This window comes from Homo sapiens, chromosome 10, assembly GCF_000001405.40.
Source record: "Homo sapiens chromosome 10, GRCh38.p14 Primary Assembly".
NCBI classification, from domain to species: domain Eukaryota; kingdom Metazoa; phylum Chordata; class Mammalia; order Primates; family Hominidae; genus Homo; species Homo sapiens.
This window is the reverse complement of record NC_000010.11, coordinates 89,490,427-89,513,345: the sequence shown is the minus strand read 5'-3', so window position 1 is coordinate 89,513,345 and position 22,919 is coordinate 89,490,427. Positions and strand designations below refer to the sequence as shown.

The 22,919-nt window shown below is 39.8% G+C and overlaps 1 protein-coding gene across 7 annotated transcripts in view, besides 1 other annotated feature; it reads left to right on the top strand.

Annotated features, from left to right (window-relative positions):
* SLC16A12 (solute carrier family 16 member 12) overlaps positions 1-22,919 on the top strand; it is a 126,406-nt gene that overhangs the window by 43,359 nt on the left and 60,128 nt on the right. The gene's annotated exons all lie outside the window — the stretch shown is intronic.
* Positions 22,219-22,720: an enhancer, noted in NCBI's record as "NANOG hESC enhancer chr10:91250383-91250884 (GRCh37/hg19 assembly coordinates)". NCBI's record gives its function as "activates a minimal SCP1, AML or CMV promoter by ChIP-STARR-seq in primed H9 embryonic stem cells {active_cell/tissue: H9 hESC(primed)}" and the evidence as "EXISTENCE:reporter gene assay evidence [ECO:0000049][PMID:30033119]".

Genomic DNA, 22,919 nt, shown 5'->3' with positions numbered 1-22,919 from the left:
CCAACAAGAGGGGATTGGTGAAGTCAGTTACAGTGCATTCAAACAATCAAATACTTTGCAACCATTAAAATGATCAGACAGAGTACATTTATTAACATAAGTATACATCCATGGTATCATTATGTGAAAAGAGCAATATAGATTAAATGATCGCGGTTTCATTTTTTTTTAAATTATGGTTAAGTGTACATAACATAAAATTTACCATTTTAACCATTATTAAGGGTACAATTCTGTGTCATTAAGTACTCAATAGGAAAAACAAACTGTTTTCCTGTCTAGTCTATTCTCAATACTTGAGAAAACTTTGACATCAAAGGTATGGGGTTTTCCACACTGAGTAGTCCTCCAGTTCTCTACAGATACCACCTAGGTGTCCTGCAATTTAACTCAGTTCTGAAACTATCTACCTGGAGATAGCAGATCCCACAGATTAAGGACTCCATCCCATAAGACAGCCCCCACTTCAGATGCCAATTCCACGTCCTGGTTGGCACCCATACTTTGACCCAACCTGCTTTAAATCAGAGGTTCCAACCCCCTCTTGGGTTCGATCTTTTGCTAGAATGGCTCACAGAACTCAGAAAACCAATCTACTTACTAGATTAGCAGTTTATTACAAAGGATATATTGAAAGATACAGATGAACAGCCAGATGAAGAGGTACGTAGGGCAAGGTCCGGGAGATTCCCAAGCTTCTCTCTTACTGGACCTTTGGCTTGTGGATGCATTCTTGTTCACCAGCTTGGAGGCTCTCTGAACACTGTCCTTTTGGGTTTTAATGGAGGCATAATTGCATAGGCAATAATCATTAACCATTGGTGGTTAAGTCAATCTTCAGGCCCTATTCCTTCCCCTAAGGTCAAGGGTGGCTTGGGTTGGGGCAGAAAGTTCCAACCCTCTAATCACAAGTTTGGCTTCTCTGCAAACATCCTCCAACCTGAGGCTGCCCAGGAGCCTGCAGACACTAGTCATCTCATTAGTGTGCAAAAAGAAACATCACCTACAAGATTTGAAGTTTTCTTAAAATTCCTTATGATGGGGAGCGCAGAGACCAAATATTTCTCACTATGTCAGAAGTATGTTCACCATTCGCATTGTTGTGTATTAATCACCACCATCCATCTCCAGAACTTTTTCATCTTCCCATACTGAAACTCTGTGCCCATTAAATACTAACTCCCCTTTCTGCTCTCCGTCAGGCCCTGGCAACCACCATTCTACTTTTTGTGTCTATGAGTTTGACTACCCTAAGGACCTCACGTAAGTGGAATCATACAATGTTTGTAGTTTTGTGACTAGCTTTTTCACTTAGCATAATGTCTTCAGGCTTCATTTATTGTGTAGTATATATCAGAATGTCCTTCCTTTATAAGGCTGCGTAATCCATTATGTGCCACATTTTGCCTATCCATTCATCTATTAATGAACATTTGGGTTGCTTCCTCTTTGGGGCTATTGTTAATAATGTGTCTATGAACATGGGTGTACAAACATTTGTTTGAGTCCTGGCTTTTAATTCTTTTGGGTATATATCTGAAAGTGGAATTGCTGGATTGTATGGCAATTCTGTTTTTAATTGTTGTTTGTTTTTAAATTTTATTTGTTTATTATTATTATACTTTAAGTTCGGGGTACATGTGCACATCATGCAGGTTTGTTACAGAGGTATACATGTGCCATGTTGGTTTGCTGCACCCATCAACTCGTCATTTACATTAAGTATTTCTCCTAATGCTATCCCCTCCCCCAGCCCCTCCACCCTCCGACAGGCCCTGGTGTGTGATGTTCACCTCCCTGTGTCCATGTGTTCTCATTGCTCAACTCCCACTTATGAGTGAGAACATGCAGCATTTGGTTTTCTCTTCTTGTGTTACTTTGCTGAGAATGATGGGTTTCCAGTTTCATCCATGTCCCTGCAAAGGACATGAACTCATCCTTTTTATGGCTGCATAGTATTCCATGGTGTATATGTGCCACATTTTCTTTATCCAGTCTATCATTGATGGGCATTTGGGTTGGTATCAAGACTTTGCTATTGTGAATAGTGCTGCAATACACATACGTGTGCATGTGCCTTTACAGTAGAATGATTTATAATCCTTTGGGTATATACCCAGTAATGGGATTGCTGGATCAAATGGTATTTCTAATTCTAGATCCTTGAGGAGTCACCACACTGTCTTCCACAATGGTTGAACTAATTTACGCTCCCACCAACAGTGTAAAAGCGTTTCTATTTCTCTACATCCTCTCCAGCATCTGTTGTTTCCTGACTTTTTAATGATCACCATTCTAACTGGTGTGAGATGGTATCTCATTGAGGTTTTGATTTGCATTTCTCTAATGACCAGTGATGATGAGTATTTTTTTATAAGTTTGTTGGCTGCATAAATGTCTTCTTTTGAGAAATGTCTGTCCATATCCTTGGCCCATTTTGATGGGGTTGTTTGTTTTTTTCTTGTAAATTTGTATAAATTATTTGTAGATTCTGGATATTAGCCCTTTGTCAGATGGATAGATTTCAAAAATTTTATCCCATTCTGTAGGTTGCCTGTTCACTCTGCTGATAGTTTCTTTTGCTGTGCAGAAGCTCTTTAGTTTAATTAGATCTCATTTGTCTATTTTGGCTTTTCTTGCCATTGCTTTTGGTGTTTTAGTCGTGAAGTCTTTGCCCAGGCCTATGTCTGAATGGTATTGCCTAGGTTTTCTTCTAGGGTTTTTATGGTTTTAAGTCTTACATTTAAATCTTTTATCCATCTTGAGTTAATTTTTGTATAAGGTGTAAGGAACGGATCCAGGTTCAACTTTCCCCATATGGCTAGCCAGTTTTCCCAGCACCATTTAAATAGGGAATCCTTCCTCCCTTGCTTGTTTTTGTCAGGTTTGTCAAAGATCAGATGGTTGTAGATGTGTGGTGTTATTTCTGAGGCCTCTGTTCCGTTCCATTTGTCTGTATACCTGTTTTGGTACCAGTACCATGCTGTTTTGGTTACTGTAGCCTTGTAGTATGGTTTGAAGTCAGGTAGCAGGATGCCTCCAGCTTTATTCTTTTGGGTTAGGATTGTCTTGGCTATGCAGGCTCTTTTATGGTTCCATATGCAATTTAAAGTAGTTTTTTCCAATTCTGTGAAGAAAGTCAGTGGTAGCTTGATGGGGATAGCATTGACTCTATAAATTACTTTGGGCTGTATGGCCATTTTCACGATATTGATCCTTCCTATCCATGAGCATGGAATGTTCTTTCATTTGTTTGTGTCCTCTTTTATTTCATTGAGCAGTTTGTAGTTCTCCTTGAAGAGGTCCTTCACACCCCTTGTTAGTTGGATTCCTAGGTATTTTATTCTCTTTGTAGCAATTGTGAATGGGAGTTCACTCACGAATTGGCTCTCTGTCTGTTATCGGTGTATAGGAATGCTTGTGATTTTTGCACACTGATTTTGTATCCTGAGACTTTGCTGAAGTTGCTTATCAGCTTAAGGAGATTTGGGGCTGAGATGATGGGGTTTTCTAAATATACAATTATGTCATCTGCAAATGGAGACAATTTGACTTCCTGTTTTCCTGACTGAATACCCTTTATTTCTTTCTTTTGCCTGATGGCCCTGGGCAGAACTTCCAATACTATGTTGAAAAGGAGTGGTGAGAGAGGGCATCCTTGTCTTGTGCCAGTTTTAAAAGGGAATGCTTCCAGTTTTTGCTCATTCAGTATGATATTGGCTGTAGGTTTGTCATAAATAGCTCTTATTATTTTGAGATATGTTTCATCAATACCTAGTTTATTGAGAATTTTTAGCATGAAGAGCTGCTAAATTTTGTCAAAGGCCTTTTTTGCAAATATCAAGATAATGTAGTTTTTGTTGTTGGTTCTGTTTATGTGATGGATTACATTTATTGATTTGCATATGTTGAACCAGCCTTGCATCCAAGGGATGAAGCCAACTTAATCATGGCGGATAAGCTTTTTGATGTGCCACTGGATTCGGTTTGCCAGTATTTTATTGAGAATTTTCACGTTGATGTTCGTCAGGGATATTGGTCTAAAATTCTATTTTTTTGTTGTGTCTGCTAGGTTTTGGTATCAGGATGATGCTGGCCTCATAAAATGAGTAAGGGAGGATTCCCTCTTTTTCTATTGATTGGAATAGTTTCAGAAGGAATGGTACCAGCTCCTCTTTATAACTCTGGTAGAATTCGGCTGTGAATCTGTCTGGTCCTGGACTTTTTTTGGTTGGTAGGCTATTAATTATTGCCTTAATTTCAGAGCCTGTTATTGGTCTATTTAGAGATTTGACTTCTTCCTGGTTTAGTCTTGGGAGGGTGTATGTTTCCAGGAATTTGTCCATTTCTTCTAGATTTTCTAGTTTATTTGTGTAGAGGTGTTCATAGTATTCTCTGATGGTAGTTTGTATTTCTGTGTAATGACAATACACAGAAATTGGTGGTGACATCCCCTTTATCATTTTTTATTCTGTCTATTTGATTCTTGTCTCTTTTCTTCTTTATTAGTCTGGCTAGCAGTCTATCTATTTATTGATCTTTTCAAAAAACCAGCTCCTGCATTCATTGATTTTTTTTGAAGGGTTTTTTGTGTCTCTATCTCTTTCAGTTCTGCTCTGATTTTAGTTATTTCTTGCCTTCTGCTAGCTTTTGAATTTGTTTGCTCTTGCTTCTCTAGTTCTTTTAATTGTGATGTTAGGGTGTCGATTTTAGATCTTTCCTGCTTTCTCTTGTGGACATTTAGTGCTATAAATTTCCTTCTACACACTGCTTTAAATGTGTCCCAGAGATTCTGGTATGTTGTGTCTTTTTTCTCATTGGTTTCAAAGAACATCTTTATTTCTGCCTTCATTTCGTTATTTACCCAGTAGTCATTCAGGAGCAGGTTGTTCAGTTTCCATGTAGCTGTGCAGTTTTGAGTGAGTTTCTTAATCCTGAGTTCTAATTTGATTGCACTGTGGTCTGAGAAACAGTTTATTGTGATTTCTGTTCTTTTACATTTGCTGAAGAGTGTTTTACTTCCAACTATGTGGTCAATTTTGGAATAAGTGTGATGTGGTGCTGAGAAGAATGTATATTCTATTGATTTGGAGTGGAGAGTTCTGTAGATGTCTATTAAGTCCACTTGGTCCAGAGCTGAGTTTAAGTCCTGGATATCCTTGTTAATTTTCTGTCTCATTGATCTGTCTAATATTGATAGTGGGGTGTTAAAGTCTCCCACTATTGCTGTGTGGGAGTCTAAGTCTCTTTGTAGGTCTCTAAATACTTGCTTTATGAATCTGGGTGCTCCTGTTTGGATGCATATATAGTTAGGATAGTTATCTCTTCTTGTCGATTGATCCCGTTACCATTATGTAATGGCCTTCTTTGTCTCTTTTGATCTTTATTGGTTTAAAATCTATTTTATCAGAGACTAGGATTGCAAACCCTGCTTTTTTTCGCTTTCCATTTGCTTGGTAGATCTTCCTCCATCCCTTTATTTTGAGCCTATATGTGTCTTTGCATGTGAGATGAGTCTCCTGAATACAGTGCACTGATGGATCTTGACTCTTTATCCAATTGCCAGTCTGTGTCTTTTAATTGGGGGCATTTAGCCCATTTACATTTGAGGTTAATATTGTTATGTGTGAATTTGATCCTGTCATTATGATGCTAGCTGGTTAGTTTGCCTGTTAGTTGATGCAGTTTCTTCATAGTGTTGATGGTCTTCACAATTTGGCATGTTTTTGCAGTGGCTGATGCCGGTTGTTCCTTTCCATGTTTAGTGCTTCCTTCAGGAGCTCTTGTAATTATGGCAGGCCTGGTGATGACAAAATCTCTCAGCCTTTGCTTGTCTGTAAAGAATTTTATTTCTTCTTCACTTATGAAGCTTAGTTTGGCTGGATATGAAATTCTGGGTGGAAAATTCTTTTCTTTAAGAATGTTGAATATTGGCCCCCACTCCCTTCTGGCTTGTAGGGTTTCTGCTGAGAGATCTGCTGTTAGTCTGATGGGCTTCCCTTTGTGGGTAATCCGACCTTTCTCTCTGGCTGCCTTTAACATTTTTTCCTTCATTTCAACCTTGGTGAGTCTGATGATTTTGTGTTTTGGGGTTGCTCTTCTCGAGGAATATCTCTGTGGTGTTCTCTGTATTTCCTGAATTTGAATGTTGGCCTGCCTTGCTATGTTGGGGAAGTTCTGGATAATATCCTGAAGAGTGATTTCCAACTTGGTTCCATTCTCCCCGTCACTTTCAGGTACACCAATCAAATGTAGATTTGGTCTTTTCACATAGTCCCATATTTCTTGGAGGGTTTTTTCATTTCTTTTCACTCTTTTTTCTCTAATCTTGTCTTCTTGCTTTATTTCATTAATTTGGTCTTCAATCACTGATATCCTTTCTTCTGCTTGATCACTTTGGCTATTGAAGCTTGTGTATGCTTCACTAAGTTCTTATGCTGCGTTTTTCAGCTCCATCAGGTCATTTATGTTTTTCTCTACACTGGTTATTCTAGTTAGCAATTCGTCCAACCTTTTTTCAAGGTTCTTAGCTTTCTTGCATTGGGTTAGAACATGCTCCTTTAGCTTGGAGGAGTTTGTTATTACCCACCTTCTGAAGCCTACTTCTGTCAATTTGTCAAACTCATTCTCTGTCCAGTTTTGTTCCCTTGCTGATGAGGAGTTGTGATCCTTTGTAGGAGAAGAAGCTGTCTGGTTTTTGGAATTTTTAGCCTTTCTGCGCTGGTTTCTCCCCATCTTTGTGGTTTTATCTACCTTTGGTCTTTGATGTTGGTGACCTATGGATGGGGTTTTGGTGTGGATGTCCTTTTTATTGATGTTGATGCTATTCCTTTCTGTTTGTTAATTTTCCTTCTAACAGTCAGACCCCTCAGCTGCAGGTCTTTTGGAGTTTCTTGGAGGTCCTCTCCAGACCTTGTTTGCCAGGTATCACCAGCGGAGGCTGCGGAACAGCAAATATTGCTGCCTGATCCTTCCTCTGGAAGCTTCGTCCTAGAGGTTCACCTGCCAGATGCCAGCCAGAGCTCTCCTGTATGAGGTATCTGTCAGCCCCTACTGGGAGGTATCTCCCAGTCAGGCTACATGGGGTCAGGGACCCAGTTGAGGAGGCAGTCTGTCTGTTATCAGAGCTCGAACACTCTGCTGGGAGAACTACTGCTCTCTTCAGAGCTGTCAGGCAGGGACGTTTAAGTCTGCTGAAGCTGTGCCCACAGCTGCGCCTTCCCCCAGGTTCTCTGTCCCAGGAAGATGGGGGCTTTATCTATAAGTCCCTGAGTGGGGCCGCTGCCTTTTGTTCAGAGATGCCCTGCCCACAGAGGTGGAATCTAGAGAGACAGTTGGCCTTGCTGAGCTGTGGTGGGCTCCACCCAGTTCGAACTTCCAAGTGGCTTTGTTTACACTGTGAGCATAATACCGCCTACTGAAGCCTCAGCAATGGCAGACACCCCTCCCTCTGCCAAGCTCCAGCATCCCAAGTCGATCTCAGACTGCTGCGCTAGCCACGAGAATTTCAAGCCAATGGATCTTAGTTTGCTAGGCTCTGTGGGCGTGGAACCTGCTGAGCCAGGCACCAGAGGGAATCTCCTGGTCTTCCGGTTGCGAAGACCATGGGAAAAGTGCAGTATCTGGGGAGGAGTGTACTGTTCCTTCTGGTACAGTCTCTCATGGCTTCCCTTGGCTGGGAAAGGGAAATCCCCTGACCCGTTGAGCTTCCTGGGTGAGGCAGCACCCCACTCTGCTTCGGCTCACCCTCTGTGGGCTGCACCCACTGTCCAATCAGTCCCAGTGAGATGAACCAGGTACCTCAGTTGGAAATGCAGAAATCACCCATCTTCTGCATCAGTCTCGCTGGGAGCTGCAGACCAGAGCTGTTCCTATTCAGCCATCTTGCTGGAATTCTTGTTTTTTTTTGTTTTTTTGTTTTTTGAGATGGAGTCTCACTCTGTCACCCAGGTTGGAGTGCAGGAGTGCAGTGGCATGATCTCGGCTCACTGCAACCTCCACCTCCCAGGTTTAAGAGATTCTCCTGCCTCAGCCTCCCGAGTAGCTGGGACTACAGATGTTGCCACCACGCCAGGCTAATTTTTTGTATTTTTAGTAGAGATGGGGTTTCACCATGTTAGCCAGGATGGTCTCAATCTCCTATTTACATACATTATAAGTATATAAAATAATTATTCAAAGTATTCCAAATAAAAGTAGTGCCTATTTGGGTGGCAGATGTGGATGATTTTTATTGTCTTTTTGCTCCATTTTCTCCTTTTTCTGCATCAATTATGTATAACATGTATAATTAAAAATGCTTGACACTCAGAATCAAGCTGTATCAATTCAGAGGTTGATGGCAACCCCCATTTGCTCTGTCTGCTCAGCCTTCACCTGGGTCTTCATCCTTCTTGCCTTGAGACTTATGCTCCCTGGCACACTCTGTACCCTGGGTCCCTCCGATCATGCTCTGGTGCTCGGGGCTGCATGTTCCTCTGCCCAGTGAAGCAGAACCAGAGAACCAGGGCTTGTTGGCAGTGGATTAGACTCTAGAAACATTGTAATCAGGCCCCAGCATATGTCTTTCTGCTTCTCTCATCCACCTTCCTCCCCCATCTTGGTTTTTAGCATAAAATAAATCTCCTTTTTGGGTTTGTTCACTCACCAAGGTTTTGGCTGGTCATCTTTGTTAATTACAACTAGCCTGGGAGAGTACTTTCTTCCTAGTCTGTAACACTGTATATTCTGTAATTTTCTGAATACTTTTAGGCCTTATAGTGAGTATTTATGTCAACATCAAAAGCAATAATGGTTCCGTATGTACCAACTTGGAAAAAGCGGAAAATCTATTCATGGAGCCAGTTACTACTTTTATGAAAATAAGGGTTGTCCAGGGTACAATAATATATATATTTTTTCTTTCACTTACTGTGTTTGATTATGGGCCAGATGAAGGGTGGGTTGGAAAGTATGTTTGTGTTTTAGGGTTAGAGAACTTGATGAACCAGGGAACAGGTAATAAGGAAAGGCATTAGTTAAGAGCCTCTTTCCAACTAGTTAATGGACTCTTTACATGAGATTGACTGTTTTAAGCAATGATCAGTGACCTTTTGGGGAGCTTTTTTTGTTTTGTTTTGACAGGCTGATTCTGGCTGCTTAGTTTCAGGACCAAGAATTTGAAGCAACGGAAAAGAGACTTTCAGAGCTGTTTGAACTTGAACTATTTTGTGTAGATATGGGAAAGAGTGGTAAAATCTGATGACTAATTTTGAGGCCTCATGGAGATGGGAGCTGAAGCTGAGAAAATTGTGTATTGGGGAGGCACAAGAGTAAAATTCCATTTCTTAATTATTTTGTAACTGAACAAGACATTGCTGTTTATTTCCTCTCAACATGTCTTCCTTGTGCTGATTTCTTGCAGACTTCTCAAATGAGAAGCATTTGATACCCTGGGGTTTTGGCTTGCTCTCGACTTCCTCCTTCACTTCCAGCCTCTGGTGATAGACTTGTCTTCCTCCACAGCCTCTGCTCAGACCTCCCACTCCTTCCTGTTGCTGTGGCCCCAGCTGGCTACAGTGGCCTCTGTGGCCCAAATTGTATGGGAACAATTGCGGACTCCACCACAAGCATCTTTCTTTCCAGTCTCTTCTCAGTCTTATTGTGGACTTGCCTTCTCCAGCGACTCTGAAAACACCCACCCTTCTTGACTCACCTGGCCCCATGGTCTTTTCAGGCTACTACTTCTGACTTACCTGTCCACATCTCTTCTTTATTTGGGCACATCTAGAAATTCATATGCTCCATGCCCTTACTGGACTTCGCCTTCTTTCTCTAACCCCACAGTGTGAAATCACTTCATATTTCATCTACTTCAATCATGCTGTACATCTGCATGGAAAAGGCAGAGAGCTATTAAGAGAGAGGTCTTGGGCAGGTTAATGGGATTTTATGGGGACCTTTTATAATTCTACGTGGGATTGGAACAGCAACTATGGATTAAAGGGCATTGCATTCATTGTTTGTGGGTTTTCCTATTAAAGTGAGTCACCACCTTTTTAATCTTTTTCAAATAAAACAAGGCCTATGTTTACATGAGGATGCTAATTAAGGACCCACCACTTTAGTAAGGCATATTTAATGTAAAAGAAAAATAACGTGAAAAAGAAAAGGTAGGAGTCAATTATGTGAGGAATAAGTGACTCTGATGTGTTTACAATTTACTAAGATTTGTTATGCAAAGAGAATATTGCCTTGTTCTCTCTCATCCTATTGTTTCTAGTGACTTGGGGCTGCTTTTGAGAACATTTACTGGAGAGATATGAACTAAGTGCTTGTCTGTTTTGACAAGGTACTTATTACCAAATAGGAACCCGCTGATCCTGATCATAGATTGCAGTTTTGATTGTAGATAGCGCACATGTTTCCTACAAGCTTTGCTGATCACCATTGCTCATCTTCTCAGCCTTTTATTAAGAGATAGGAGAAAGCAGACTGTTGGCTTCCTTGGACAGATGGAAGCCTAGTTGACATGAAGTTGGGGAATTCCTGATCCTCTGCCAAATTAACATTTATGAATCATGTTGGCTTCAATCTCTGACAACCAATATGATTTGGCAGCTGGAAACTGAAATGCACACTCCTTATGGAAGGGGTGTTGACTTTAGCAGTGTCCGACACATGTGCAGCCAAGATGACTGATGTTTATTTGCTTCTATAGTCCTCAAGGCTCAAGGCACATGACACAGTTTTGATAGCTGTCCAGTGCATGGCTCTGAAATGCTGCAAACTCCTGGGCAAGCTGCTGAGTTCTGCTCAGAAGCTTTACCATAAGTAGGTGAATGCATGCAAGATCTAGTTCTCAGTTGTATCAGGAGTTTCTGTGGGCATCACTTTTTTGTTTTTTTGTTTTTTGTTTTTTTGAGATGGAGTCTTGCACTGTTGCCCGGGCTGCAATGGCACGATCTTGGCTCACTGCAACCTCTGCCTCCTGGGTTCAAGCAATTCTTCTGCCTCAGCCTCCCAAGTAGCTGGGATTATAGGCTTCCACCACCATGCCTGGCTAATTTTTTTTATTTTTAGTAGAGACGGGGTTTCACCATGTTGGACAGGCTGGTCTCGAACTCCTGACCTCATGATCTGCCCACCTTGGCTTCACAAAGTGCTGGGATTATAGGTGTGAGCCACCGCACCCGGCCGGGCATCACTTTTGCCTGAATTCCAGCATGAAATGGTCATTGTGCTGTATACTACCCTACATCCTCCCTAACTGAGACAGTGACAGTTTTCAATCTGGGCTGTGTCAGCAGCCAAACTAGATAACTTAAAAGCAACACAGTAAGGATCAAATTGTCTTCAATTCATGAGACAATTCGTTTTCCAGTTTTGACAGGTATAGGTATTTATTGGGGAATTTTTAAAATATATGTTAGGCATGTTCTAGGTACTGGGAATCCAGCCATGAAATAACATAGGCAAGTGTCCCTCCTGCATGGAGCTTACACTTTAGTAGTGAAGACAAATAATAAACAAATGAGCAAATGAGACAACTTCAAATAGTGATAAATATGCTAGGAAGAAAATACAACAGCCTAATTTATTATTATTATTATTTTTGAGATGAAGTCTTGCTCTGTCGCCCGGGCTGGAGTGTACTGGTGTAATCTTGGCTCACTGCAACCTTCATCTCCTGGGTTCGAGTGATTCTCATGCCTCAGCCTCCTGAGTAGCTGGGACTACAGGCATGCACTGCCACACTCAGCTAATTTTTGTATTTTTAGTATAGATGGGGTTTTGCCATGTTGACCTTTCCCCACTTTATGTTTTTGTTTGCTTTGTCAAAGATCAGTTGGCTGTAAGTATTTGAGTTTATTTCTGGGTTCTCTATTCTGTTCTGTTGATCTATACTAGTACCTGCTTTTATACTAGTACCATGCTGTTTTGGTAACTATGGCCTTATGGTATAGTTTGAAATTGGATAATGTGATGCCTCCAGATTTGTTCTTTTTGCTTAGTCTTGCTTTGGCTATGTGGACTGTTTTTTGATTTCATATGAAGCTTAGAATTATTTTTCTAATTCTGTGAAGAATAATGGTGGTATTTTGATGGGCATTGCATTGAATTTGTAGATTGCTTTTGGCAGTATGGTCATTATCACAATATTGATTCTACCCATCCATGAGCATGGGATGTGTTTCCATTTCTTTGTGTCATCTATGATTTCTCTGAGCAGTGTTTTGTAGTTTTCCTTGTAGTGGTCTTTCACCTCCTTGGTTAGGTATATTCCTAAGGTTTTGTTTTTTTTGTTTTTTGTTTTTGCAGCTATTGTAAAAGGGGTTGAGTTCTTGATTTGATTATCAGCTTGGTAGCTGTTGGTGTACAGAAGAGCTACTGATTTGTGTACATTAGTTTTGTGTCTGGAAACTTTGCTGAGTTCTTTTATCAGTTCTAGGAGCTTTCTGAAGGAGTCTTTAGGGTTTTCGAGGTAAACAATCATATCATCAGCAAACAGTGACAGTTTGACTTCTTCTTCACTGATTTGGATGTGCTTTATTTCTTTTTCTTGTCTGATTTCTCTGGCTAGGACTTCCAGTACTATGTTGAAGAGGAGTGGTGAGAGTGGACATCCTTGTTCCAGTTCTCAGCAGGAATGCTTTCAACTTTTCCCCACTTAGTATAATGTTGGCTGTGGGTTTGTCATAGATGGATTTTATTACATTGAGGAATGTCCCTTGTATGCCGATTTTGCTGAGGATTTTAATCATAAAAGGATGCCGGATTTTGTCGAATGCTTTTTTTTCATCTATTGATATGACCATGTGATTTTTGTTTTTAATTCTGTTTATGCGGTGTATCACATTTATTGGCTTGCATATGTTAAACCATCCCTACATTCACACTCCTGCTATGAAAACCACTTGATCATGGTGGATTATCTTTTTGATATGTTGTTGGATTCAGTTAGCTAGTATTTTGTTAAGGCTTTTAGCATCTATATTCATCAGGGATATTAGCCTGTAGTTTTCTTTTTTTGTTATGTCCTTTCCTGGTTTTAGTATTAGGGTGATACTGGCTTCATAGAATGATTTAGGGAGGGTTCCCTATTTCTCTATCTTGTGGAATAGTGTCAACAGGATTGGTACCAATTCTTCTTTGAATGTATGGTAGAATCCTGCTGTGAATCCCTCTGGTCCTGGACTTTTTTTTGTTGGTATTTTTAAAATTACCATTTCAATCTTGCTGCTTGTTATTGGTGGGTTTCTAATTCTTCCTGCTTTGAGCTAGGAGGTTGTATCTTTCCAGGAATTTATCCATCTCCTCTAGGTTTTCTAGTTTATGCCCATAAAGGTATTCATAATAGCCTTGAATGATCTTTTGTATTTCTGTAGTGTCAGTTGTAATATTTCCCATTTTGTTTCTTATCGAGCTTATTTGGATTTTCTCTCTTCTTTTCTTGGTTAATCTTAGTAATGGTCTAACAATTTCATTTATCTTTTCAGAGAACCATCCTTTTGTTTTATTTATCTTTCGTATTTTTTTTGTTTCAATTTCATTTAGTTCTGCTCTGATCTTGGTTATTTCCTTTCTTCTGCTGGGTTTGGGTTTGGTTTGTTCTTGTTTCTCTAGTTCCTTGAGGTGTGACCTTAGATTGTCTGTTTGTGCTCTTTTAGACTTTTTGATGTAGGCATTTAGGGCTATGAACTTTCCTCTTAGCACTGACTTTGCTGTATCCCAGAGGTTTTGATAGGTTGTGTCACTATTGTCATTCAGTTCAAATAACTTTTTAATTTCTATCTTGATTTCATTTTGACCTGATGATCATTCAGGAGCAGATTATTTAATTTCCTTGTATTTGCAGGATCTGGGCTCACCGTAACCTCCACCTCCCAGGTTCAAGTGATTCTCCTGCCTCAGCCTCCCGAGTAGCTGGGATTACAGGCACACACCACCACACCCAGCTAATTTTGTATTTTTAGTAGAGACGAGCGTTCTCCATGTTGGTCAGGCTGGTCTTGAACTCCTGACCTCAGGTGATCCACCCATCTCGGCCTGCCAAAGGGCCAGGATTACAGGCAAGAGCCACCGTGCCCAGCTTGATTGATTTTAATAAATAAAAATATTTATTTCATTGATATCGCTTTTTTTGATTTCCTTAAATTGGGCTTTGTCTTTCTCTGGTGCCTCCCTGATTAGCTTAATAACTAACCTTCTGAATTATTTTCCAGGTAAATCGGGGATTTCTTCTTGGTTTGGATCCATTGCTGGCAAGCTAGTGTGATTTTTTGGGGGATGTTAAAGAGCCTTGTTTTGTCATATTACCAGAGTTGGTTTTCTGGTTCCTTCTCATTTGGGTAGGCTCTGTCAGAGGGAAGATCTAGGGCTGAAGGCTGTTCACATTCTTTTGCCCCATGGGGTGTTCCGTTGATGTAGTACTCTCCCCTTTTCCTATAGATGTGGCTTCCTGAGAGCCAAGCTGTAGTGATTGTTATCTCTCTTTTGGATCTAGCCACCCAGCAAGTCTGCCAGGCTCCGGGCTGGTACAGGGGGTTGTCTGCACAGAGGCCTATGATGTGGAGCGTCTGTGGGTCTCTCAGACATGGATACCACCACAGTATTTGGGGTGTCTCCCAGGTCCTGCAGGAGCAATCCACCTCCTTCAGAGGGTCTGTGGGTCCTCTCGGGTTTCCTGATTTATTCCTGCAGTCATTCTGGAACAAAAATTCATAATGCGAGTCTCCTCAAGCTGTTCTGTCTGCCCGAGTCGGAGCTGCAAAAACTCTCTGATCATGACTGCCCTTTCTATTTCTTAACATTTTAAAATATAATATTCCAGGTGTTTTGTAAATATTTTACATACTTGATAAAAATGAGGTCAACCATTTGTTGTTTTTCAACTTCATTTGTTCATATAATTTTTGGAACACATTCCCTTTGTATCTATATTTCAGCCAATTGTACATAAACAGGGAATCATTGTTAATGTAATTAATCTCAATCAATTGCACTAGAAATGTTTCCTTCTCTTCTCTTCTCTTTCAACACAGTCTCTTTTTGTTAACCAGGCTGGAGTGCAGTGGCATGATCGGGGCTCACCACAGCCTTGACCTTCTGGGCTCAAGCCATCTTCCCACCTCACCCCCACCCTCTACCACCCCTACCCTACCCACCTCCGAGTAGCTGGGACTACAGGCACGCACCACTACACTTGGCTAGATTTTTGTATTTTTAGTAGAGTTTGGGTTTCGCCATGTTGCCCAGGCTAGTCTTGAACTTGTGGGCTCTGCCTGCCTTGGCCTTCTAAAGTGTTGGGATTACAGGTATGAGCCACCGCGCCTGGCCCCTACTATCTTTATTTTTACTAGTTATAAAGATAAGAATTGTTTCTTGTTAAGTTTTCAAATAGTACAGACGTAGATAAAATAATTATACCTACTTCTAACTTTATCTCATGTAGTTTGTGTGCCCTTATGATTTAAGATATTGGAGGTATAATTACATAGTAACATACATACATAAAATATAGCTCTGAGACCTCAGTAGGAAATGTTGGTTTATATCTTATTAGAAAGAATCCTCTTTAATGAAGATCGACTTGGCCTTAATGAAATCATGTTGGGTTTTTTTTTCCTCTTTCTGATCTCTACCCCTATTAATTCTTTAATCAGTAACTGCACAGAGGATAGAAATAGCATGATGAGGATGTATGCTAGATTGGAAGTCAGGAGACTTGAGTTTAATTCTGTTCTGCCTCTCACCTGCTATGTAGGTTTAGGGAGATTTGAGTTCCAGAGGCCCTAATACAGTGCTGTTTCCCCCACACCATGTAGAATTCTTCCTCTGTGCTTTCCAGTTATCCTTTTGTACCACTGTGCTTTTATTTTTCATTTGAAAAGACCTGGTCTTTGAGTTCCCAGCAATTTGGTCCAAAAAATATATAATCACACTAGTTCAGTTTTAAAACATATACATTTTTGTTTGTATAAATAGTATACGTTAACCTCTGAATTTCTTTGTTTCTACCTGTATTTTTTGAGAATAAATAAAAACCAAAAGAAACTTGCTTTTTAAATCAATCTGATGTGTTTGTAGTGATATCTCATGTGTGTATATGTGTTTAATTAATAGACTTTATTTCTTAGAGCAGTTTTAAGTTTACAAACAGAAAGTACAGAGTTCCCGTATACTCTGTGTCTGCCCCCATATCCCACTCTCTGGTTTTTCCTGTCATTAACATCTTGACTTGGTGTTGTACACATATTACAACTGATGAACGAATAATGATACTTTATTATTAACTAAAGCCTATACTTTACATTCAGGTTCACACTTTTCTCATTGTGTTTTAAAACTGTATTTCTCTGATTAAAAATGAGCATCTTTTCATGTGTTCATTGGCCATTGGGTTTCCTTTTGTGTGGATTGCCTGTCAAAGTCCTTTTTCTATTGGAGTGTCTTTTTAATAGGAGTTCCTTTTACATTCTTGATAGGAGTCCTATGTTGGTTATACATGTTGCAGATATATTCTTCCACTCTCTGTCTTGCTTTTTTATTGTCTTAATAACGTCTTTTGAAATTATTAATTTTAAGGTAGTCAAATGTGAAAGTGTTCTTCTCCTTTATAATTGGAGTTCTTTGAACCCTGTTTTAGAATTCTTTCCATACCTCCAAATCATGAGGATGTTAGCTCCTTAAAGCTTAATTATTTTGCCTTTTCATATGCAGTTGTATAATACACCTGAAATCAACTTTTGTGAATGGTGCAAGATTGAGGGCTCTGAGTTTTTTCAGTAATTTCATTGGACGCTCAAATGTGGGAAATGTTTTTATAGCATTTCTTTCATCATCTATTTCCCCTTGTTTTCTTAGTTTCTGGGACTCCTATTAATTGAATATTAACTCTTCTGAACTAATTCACTAGTTTTCCTGTTCCTTCTAATAGTCTACATCTTTGTGTTCTTGTTTACTTTATGGGATAGTTCTTCTTCTGATCCTTCCATTAAATTTTCAATTTCCACAATTATATTTTAATTCCAAGCATTCTTTTTTAGTTTCCAAATGTTTCTTTCTTTATAGCCTCCTCTTCTTGTTTTATTTATGCATTATGTTTTCTTGACCTCTCTGAAGATATTTACTGTAGTTTTTTTCTTTGAATTTTTCTTTCATGTCCTTGTATGTTCTTTCATGCCCTGAATTGTCCATGTTTCCTCTGAATTTATTTCTTTCTCTTCCTAAAGCCCCCATCCCACTTCTTATGTTAATTGTTATAATAATTATTAGTTATGTTAATAATTTCCTAATTATATGGTAATTTCTTAACTATTTGATGATCTTTGGTTGTTCATTTATTTCAGAATGAGACATTAAGAAGCTGATTAGAAGGAAGGATTTGTGGATTGGCCAGTTGCATGTAGAATGAGCAGCTCTGGTTCAACTTACAAATTTTTGGCTTTACAATGGTGCCAAAGAAATACACATTCAGTAGAAACTGTTTTTCACATTTTGATTTTTGATCTTTTTTTGAGCTAGTGATATGTAGTAAGACAACTTTCTCATGATGCTGGTCAGAGGCAGCAAGCCACAGCTCTGTCAGCCCCACGATCATGATGGTAAACAACTGGTACTGTACTCTACAGTGTACTGTATTCAATACATTATGAGATATTCTACACTTAATTATAAAATAGGGTCTGTGTTAAATGAGTTTGCCCAACTACAGGCTAATTTAAATTTCCGAGCACATTTAAAGTAGGCTAGGCTAAGCTAGGATGGTCAGTGGGTTAGGTGTATTAAATGCATTTTAACTTGGGATATTTTCAGTTTTTGATGGATGTATCAAGATTTAACCCCATCATAAGTCAAGGAGCATCTGTAGTTTCTGAGTAACACTCCCAAGGGTTAATACCTTTTCTCTTAGCTTGGTTAGTTTCTCCAAAGACAGTTGTCAGTGTTTTGCGTGGTAGCTAGAAACCTGGTTCCTAGTGTGATGTTTGTTTGTTTGTTTGTTTGTTTTTTGAGAGACGGAGTCTTGCTCTGTGGCCCAGGCTGGAGTGCAGTGGCGGATCTCGGCTTACTGCAACCTCCGCCTCCTAGGTTCAAGCAATTCTCCTGTCTCAGCTTCCCAAGCAGCTGGGACTACAGGCGCACACCACCACTACCAGGTAATTTTTGTATTTTTTAGTAGAGACGGGGTTTCACTATATGTTGGCCAGGCTGCTCTCAAACTCCTGACCTCAGGTGATCTGCCCACCTCGACCTCCCAAAGTGCTGGGATTACAGGGGCATGAGCCACTATGCCCGGCCAGTTCCTAGTGTTTTTAGAGTAATATAGGGCCAGAGTTGTGGGACAGGGCATTTCACCATTCAGTATGATATTCATTTAATCCTCTTGTTTTTGTGTGGTGCTCTGCCTTCCCTTGCTACTTCCGCTGTATCTGCTATCTCCAAGAACAGTATGTAGCATTTCCACAGACTAAATACCAGTTTTCTTCCAGGGAGGGGAAGGCTAATTGTCTGAGGGGTGGGAACTTCTACAAACTTTCCATCAGTCCTATTTTTAGCTTCATTCCCACACTTGCTGTCTTTAGAAATCTTCTGTTCCTTCATTCCTGAGTCTTTCTGGGATTCTGCAGTTTGGCTTCCTTCTTACCGTCTCCCTTCCATGTTGGATTAGGTTTCAGTGTTCTCTGTTTTGCTAAATCAGATCCCATCTGTTCATTCACTTTCCGGCTTCCAAAATGTGTTTGACATCTTTTGTTTGCTATTATGTTCTCTCCTGTTCTCTTTATCCTTGTGGTTTATTTCCTTTGATTCCTTTACCACCAGCAATGTTTTAGGAGGAGAGATAAACATGCGTGCTCAATCTGCTGTACAAAATTGGAAGCTGAATGTACCACAGCTTACCCAACTGATTCCCTGCTAATGGAAACATATTCCAATGTTTTGTAGTTACAAATAATGCTAATGCATTCTTATATGAGCATATTTGAGCATTTGGGGAGTGTTAACTATAAGACAGATTCCTAAATGTAGAAGCATTGGGTCAGAAGTTGAGTACGTTTGAAACTTACTGCCAAATGTCACTCCAAAACAATTGAACCGGTTAATACTGCTGTCAACAGTGTGTATGAAATAAAGCACGTTTTTATTAATGAACTAGCTACGTGTCCTTTTTGATGCTGGACCAATGGGTTTCTTTGCTTGATTTAAAACATTTCCTCTATTTAATAATCTTGGCTGACACTTTCGTGTTAGATAATTGAAAAACTCAATACTAAACATTACTGTATTATAGTTCTTCAAGAAGAAATATAGCGTGGGGGATTAAATTAGTTTACCAACAGGAATGGGGCCAATATGATTACTTCAGTTTTCTTTATTTCTAATATGTATTGTGGCTCACAATCCTTCAATTTCACAGGCTTCTAGAACTTTTAACATTAGAGGAACTGATGATCGATTTTTTTTTATAGTTTGCTTTGACAAAATTACCTTGGTAGGAACCTTTCATTTATCTGCTTAATGATACACACTCATTCTTTTTATCACCCTGCTTCTGACACAGCTCCTGGCCCATTTGTTTATTTAGGTACTTGGGCAAAAGAGATAAAAATGCATTTGTTTAGGCCTGTAAAACACTGGTAGTATAACTATATGGAAAGGGGAGCCAATCCGAGGAAGGAAGAGGAGCTATGGACTGGGAGTTTGACAGCTCTCTTAGCTTACATTCTGGCTCAGCCACATATTTCTATGTGATCTTGGACAATCATATAAGCCCTGACCATATTTATAAGACAAGAATAACAGTGACTTTAAAAAGTAGGACTTTAGGGTGCAAGTGACAGACATTAAACTCAGGGTGACAAAAAGTAAAAAGCGAATTCATTTGGGAGGCCAAAGTGGGCGGATTACCTGAGGTTGGGAGTTCAAGACCAGCCTGACCGCCATGGAGAAACCTCGTCTCTACTAATAATACAAAAATTAGCCGGGCATAGTGACACATGCCTGTAATCCCAGCTACTTGGGAGGCAGAGGCATGAGAATCGCTAACACCCAGGAGGCGGAGGTTGCAGTGAGCTGAGATTGGGCCATTGCACTCCAGCCTGGGCAACAAGAGTGAAACTCCTTCTCAGACCAAAAAAAAAAAAAAAGAAAGAAAAAAGGTGAATTCATTTATTTACTTAACAGAGAACCTCAAGGGTGGGATTTAGATATAGCTGAGTTCAAATGTTTAAACAATTTCAGCAACACGTATTTCTTGAACTCTTTCCTAGGCTGGCTTAGTAAAGAGAAAAATGGCCACCTGCAGCTCACTGTTGGCATGCTGTGACTTGGGAACCCCATGAAAAGAAGCCACATCTTCCTTGTTGTTCTAGCAAATGTCTTATTTGGTGACTCTTATGGGTCTAGCCTGGTTCATAAGTCTCTGAATGAGTCATGCCTCTGATTGGCCAGGCCTCCCCAGGAGGAGATAGGTTCAAGACGCTTGAACTGAGAATGGGAATACTGAGGTGTTGTTTCCTAAAGGAAAGGGCATAGATGTTGGGTAGACAAAGGCAGGAGATGACTATTAACCTTCTCTACCTTTCATACTAGATTGGTCTGAGTCTTAGAAAGAGTAATATTTGTGAATATAAACTCCATGGTGCTATACAACAAATGTAGATTGTCTTTTTTATCTTATGAATACTTAATTATGACTTAGTTCAGACTTGCCCAAATAAATTACTTGCCATGTCGGCACCATCGCACTCTTGTGTTTTTAGTAGAGACTAAAAATACTCTTGTATTTTAAGTAGAGACGGGGTTTCTCCACGTTTATCAGGCTGGTCTCGAACTCCTGACCTCAGGTGCCTCAGGTGATCCGCCCGCCTCAGCCTCCCAAAGTGTTGGGATTACAGGTGTGAGCCACTGCGCCCAGCTACTTATAGCTATTTTTTTTTTACAAGTCCTTTTAAGCATAGGTGAGTTGTCCCCATTCTTGTTCCTAAAAAACTGCTCTTATCTCGGGCGACATATAAAAGGGAAGATCAAAAATAACCTTTAGTGGATAATTATATACATTTATCACCATCCTTGTAGTGTCATGTTTAAAATGCTTTGGCCAATGAAGTAATAATCATGGCAGATTATTTTATCTTGGTATCTATTGGTTGTGATCAATTAACACATGCACAGCTTTAAAATATTGAAATTGATCTTTTGTTTGTTTGTAAAACAAATGACATCATAAACAAATGAAGCCAGCGGGAGAACATTGATATCATGTCAGTCTCAAAGGTGACAACATCTTCTGAATATTTCCTCCTCGTCATAACTTATTTTGATATTATCCATGAATTGATCTAAACTTTTCCATAATCTATTTATACTTAAGTTGGTATTGCCTCTGGAGATGACTTGCATACTTTTTTTTATAGCTCCTGTCTATATGTTTTTCTCCCTTTTGTGTATGTGGTATGGTGAAGAAGCATCATTTGCAGAGTATAGTAAAACTGCAGCTTTATTTTTCGACTTCTACTTTCCCTTTAAAAATTGTTCAGTGGGAACAGCCTTTCCCCATCCCTGGATGAACACGTGGACAGGTCCCATGGCTTTCTGCTCATTGTTAGGTAACAGACCATCCTCTGGGTCATTTTAAGTCACAAACACAGTCTCAATTTAGAAATTAAAATATCTAATTCACACACATGATAAAAACTTAGAATTTAGTTTTAATGTCAATTCTTACCTCCTCCCCCAGGCAGGGCCACTATAAAATTGTCTGTTTGTAGTGGGAGAAGGAGGCATGATTCTTTCCTCTTTCCAGCTTAATGTTTTTTCTTTCCCAGCTTTCTGGAATTAATTTAAAAAAAAAAAAACTCCTCTAGGGTCTGGCTCAGTGGGAGAAGAGATTAGGAAAATAGGGCACAATCTTACTTGGTATGCGCACTTGTTAACTTTTTATGTAGTAGGTGATTTTATGTTTTGTTTTGTTTTTTGTTTTTTGTTTTTATTTTTATTTTTTTATGGAGGCTCCCTGCTTGTCCTTCTAGGCACACACCTGTGAGGCATGTAGTATATCTCTTTTGCCTGGTTGCAACTCAGCTCCTGGTTCTCTTGTGGTTATGGACCTTTACTGTTAGAAAACCATCCCCTCTGCCAGCAGGCCCTCTTGGGCAGGATTATAATGGCTCCAGGCAGCTCTTTCCCCAGAAAGCTCTGTAACTGGCTCATGAGAAACTGACGCATCTTTTGCCTCATGGAGAGTGGGGGTGGTAGTATAGTTGCTATTCATGGGAGAAGTCATGTAATAAAATAAGAAATATGTATTTGGCTGCCTAAAACTCTTGGAATTTCATAAGTGTTAATATGAGTGATAGGGGCATCTTTTGTTATAGTATTTGGTTTTTGTCTCCAGTTCTTGAAATAGCTCTGGAGTGAGAGAATTGTCTTTTGTTATTCATAACAAGCTAACTTCATCCAGCCTGAGCTTTTGTTAATGAGATGATTTTTGAAAAGGCCCTAAAGATGGGAGACTGCTTGTCCCATGACTAAAGGGTTGGACTTTCAGCAACTGCTCCCACTACCTCCAGGAGTAGAGAGGGGCCGAAGGTTGAGTTTATCTGAAATGGTCAATGATTTAACCAATCATGCTAACTTAATGAAGCTGCCATAAAAACCCTAACTGAAGGGATTCAGAGAGCTTTTGGGTTGGTGAACACATGGAGTTGCTAGGAGGGTGGGATGCATAGAAGCTCTGCGTTCCCAATCCCGGCCCCCCATACCTTGCCTTATGCTTCTCTTCCATATGATTGTTCCTGAGCTGTATCCTTTATAATATACCAGTAAACATAAGTAAAGATTTTTCCCTGAGTTCTGTGAGTAATTAAAGCAAAGTATTGAGGGGGTTGTGGGAACCCTTGATTTATAGCTGGTCCATCAGAAGTTAGAAGGGAGGCCCA